The sequence below is a fragment of the Homo sapiens genome, chromosome 18, assembly GCF_000001405.40.
Source record: "Homo sapiens chromosome 18, GRCh38.p14 Primary Assembly".
In the NCBI taxonomy this organism is placed as follows: domain Eukaryota; kingdom Metazoa; phylum Chordata; class Mammalia; order Primates; family Hominidae; genus Homo; species Homo sapiens.
Window position 1 is genome coordinate 40864416 of NC_000018.10, and position 4183 is coordinate 40868598.

Here is a 4183-nt window from a genome sequence, read left to right on the forward strand (position 1 = left end):
CCGCCCCTGTATTCTTCTTGTAAGTTATAATAACATATGCCCTGTTCGTTATGATTCAAAACTTTTTACATGTTGTTCTTAGTGCTTGCAACACCTGCCTCCAGCCTTATTCCCATCATCTTTTAGTTCTGTTTTATAGTATAACTATTATTGTGGTTAAAAATTTTGTCTGGAGTCGGGTTGAGAGTACACAAATCATAGCTTAAGTACTTCATAACTATAGAACTATGGACAAATTCCTACATTTTTTGTTCTTTAATCTCCTCACTTAAAATACAGGGATAATAATACTAACTAGTTCTTAGGTTTTTTTTATGATTATTAAATAGATTAATTCACATAAAGAGGAGAGTGTCTGATACCCATATCCCAAAATAATATATATTAATATTATTTTATTTATCTCCATTATGCATTATCATTTTGAGCATCGTCTTCATCTTGTTGGTTTGCAAATGACTTTCTTTAATAAATCTTTGCCCTCTAAACTAAATCAGACTTTACTCTTTAAAACCCTGTTTCATAGTTCACAGTTGATTAAATTAAAGTTATGTATCTCCCTAACAAGAAAGCCAAAAATCACATCTTAGCACATTTTGAGAACATACCAGACAATCCACAAATATTTTTAAATAAATGAATGGCTTACTATCTGTCTTAGTCTGTTTTCTGTTGTTATGAGAGAATGCCTGATTTCTAGAGAAAGAAGTTTTATTTCTTACAATCCTGCAGGTTAGGAAGTCTAAGATCAGGCAGCCACATCTGTTTGGCTTCTGGTGAGGGCCTCATTCTGTATCGTAACATGGCAAGAGGTCATGAGTACAGAGAAACTGGCTTTCATAACAGAAGCATTATGGTGACAACTAAACCACTCCTGTAATAACCCATTAATCCATTAATTCATTAATCTATTAATCTATGAATGGAAAAATCCATTAATGAGGACAGAGCCCTCATGAACCAGTCACTTCATAAAGGCCCCACCTCTTAGTACTGTTCCATTGGGGAACACATTTCAATATGAATTTTGGAGAGAACAAAAATTCAAACCATGACATTATTTAATATGGATGGTGACATACACTGGGAAGACAATGCCATATATATATATATATATATATACACACACACACACACACACACACACACACACACACGTATACATGTACATATCTGTAACATTGCAAAGCATTCTGGGACTTATAAGTTAAACTATTTATTTCATAGTTAATAAAATTACAAAATTAATGGATAAAAGAAATCTGGAATTTTGTGTCAAACCAGAACACTAAAATGAGAGGAAGCATTCCCATGTGCCAAATTTTGAAATTAAAAAAATATAATAAACAATGGGAGTACTACTTTTCAGAGTTTAGCAAGCCTATCTAAATCATGTAATTCCAGTAAGTAATACAGGCTAAATACACAGATGTAGAAAATTTTCTGGTATATCCATGGATGGTAAAAATCCACATATAAAGAAAACATGAATGTTTAGAAAGTGTTCTCATGTTCCCATTAAGAACAGTCACACAGTATCACAAATCATGTGGAGATGGCCTGATAGTGTTCTCCAAAATTTTTTCATCACACACCTTTCTAAGTTAAAAACATTGAAATATATACCTACAAATATAGGTATATTTATTTAGGTACATATTTACAAAAGTCCTATGGTATTATGTTATATTTATTATAAAACAGATGCCAAAAAATATAAATTTTAAAAGGGCAAGATATAAAAGGAACTTACAAGTTGTAATGATTTATTTTCATGTCCTATTGGGTTGTCTTGCATATTTCCTGGAATAGGGATTTCCACTTTGAAGACCCCTAGCCTGGCATAAGAAGCAGTAGCCTAGAATTGAGGCAGCCAAATGTCTAGGCAGATAAAAAGGGGTCCCCAGAGAATCTCCAACCCACCCCACAGGTGTTTATATCAGATGCTTTTGTGCAGATGAGGGAGCCTGTCCAGGGCTTGTCTGGGCACGCCTACAGTAAACTGGAGCCTGACATGGGCACTGGAGGAAGTGGGCGGAGCCACAGGAATTCACACTAATGCAGAGGAGGAGTCTGCTCTCTTCAGTTCCTGTGTGGTGACGCCGGATTCATCTGTGAGGTCAAGGCCCTGTTAGCAGGACTCTATTTCACTCTGCTGAGGTTTTCCTTTTTTTTCCTTTTTCGCCCAATAAAACCCTGCTGTACTCACCCTTCAATGTGCCTGCATGCCTAAATTTTCCCGGTCGTGTGACAAGAACCCAGGTTTTAACTGAACTAAAGAGAAAAGTTCTGCAACAGAATGTGTCCTGGACGTCATCTAGACTTACATTATTGTTATTGTTGTTGTTGTTTTCATTTTCAAGTTATTTCTTAGCAGAATTTTATCCAAAGATGGTAATTTCTCATTTCTTCCTTAGCCATTTTCCCACTTCCTACTTGTCTCTGATGAAAAAAGTCATTTAAACTTGAGAGCTGTAGTACGTTTTATTCAACATCAGGAATTTATTAAAAAGTATCAAGCCTGTACTTACTTCAAATTAAGATACTCCTTGTGGTTCATTTCCAGTGATCGGTAATCCCCATATCAAATCACTTTGCTGGGAACATTGATATTTGATAAATACATTTACAGGAAGCAGTTATCTTCAAACTCCAGTCTCATCAAGCATTGTCCCACCACAAAATATGATCAAAGATTAAGGACTCCAGGGACTCATGGGCTCTAAACTCATCAGCTTTGAATCCTGCTATAAATTATCCAAATGAGGCACTTGGCAAGATTCTTAACTGATTGTGCTATTCGGAACACCTCCATTTCAATTAGAGGTAACCATGATACATGACAGCAAAGAACAAAACTAATAATTTTCACTGATGTCAGGGAAGGTTATAGGACTTCAGGGAATTATAGCAAGTATTTCAAGAAATGCACATTCACGACAGCCTTCTTTGTCGGTGTGTCTGCTTCTTGAATGAGAAGCTTTTATTTTAGTTTCCTAGTTCATATCAGATGGGTTAAGAATGTATCCATATAAAAGTCTGGCTGACAGGGAAAATTGGTATGTTAGGGACTAAAAATATCAATGCTAAACGCCCAAATTCTGAATCCCTTAGGAGACCAGATGTGTCTTCAGTTTCAATCCTAAGTCTGGGCAAATGCTATGTAGGCAGATGAGGCAGCATGTACAAGTCAGCAGAAGTTAAAAGACTCCTGAGTCACAAATATCTGCTCCTCCTGGACTAGAAGCAATCTTGAAATTTCCACTTAATGTTACATCATAAAGCCTATTGTAACTGGATATATCTGAGCAGTGTAAAACATCGGCTAACACTGTAGGTTCCTTACCTTTTAAAAATACCCTGAGGATAAGCTTCCCTGAGTTTTTGAGGTTTCCCTGAACAGAAAACTGATAAGTTTCTTTTTAAAAGCAAACTCTGGGAATTGAGGAACTAGGTGTGCTACATATCAATAGAAAGCAATTTGATTCACTGGTCTTGGCATAGATATAAAAGTCAGAAAAACGAGTTTTCTTGTGCTAATTGGCTAATTACAAACTTTATGGCTTTGGCCTCATTTTTCTTAACTCTCATTTCAAATAACACACTCCCTAATATTCTCCCCAAATAGGGTCATTAATTTAGCAAACGTGTGTTGAGTAGCTACTACAGTCGTCCCTCCTTATCTATGGTTCTGCTTTCTGTGGTGTCAGTTACCTATGGCCAATTGCAGTCTAAAAATATTAAATGGAAAATTCTAGAATTAATTCACAACTTTTAAATTGTGTGTTGTTCTAAGTAGTGTGATGAAATCTCACCCTGTCCTGCTCTGTCTTGCTTGAGATGTGAACTCATCGTCCAGTGTTTCTGCTCTGCACACGCCCTACCCATGAGTCACTTACTGGTCATCTCCATTATCAGATTGACTGTCACACTATCACAATGCTTATGTATGTCATCTTTATTTTACTTAACAGTGGCCCCAAAGTGCAACCATAGTGATGCTGGCATATTGTTATAATGACTCTGTAAGATTCTTAGTCATTGTTGATAATCTCTTACTGTGCCCAGTTTATAAATTAAATTTTATCATTGCAAACAAACAAAATAGCTTGTTTCTAAAACTCTACACGATTCTACAAAGTGTGTATTATACTCTTAATTTTAATGATGAAGCTTAACAATG

At 35.8% G+C, this 4183-nt stretch overlaps 1 annotated feature.

Annotated features, from left to right (window-relative positions):
* Positions 3077–3277: a silencer, noted in NCBI's record as "peak3126 fragment used in MPRA reporter construct". NCBI's record gives its function as "represses an SCP1 promoter by STARR-seq MPRAs in K562 erythroleukemia cells {active_cell/tissue: K562}" and the evidence as "EXISTENCE:reporter gene assay evidence [ECO:0000049][PMID:32103011]".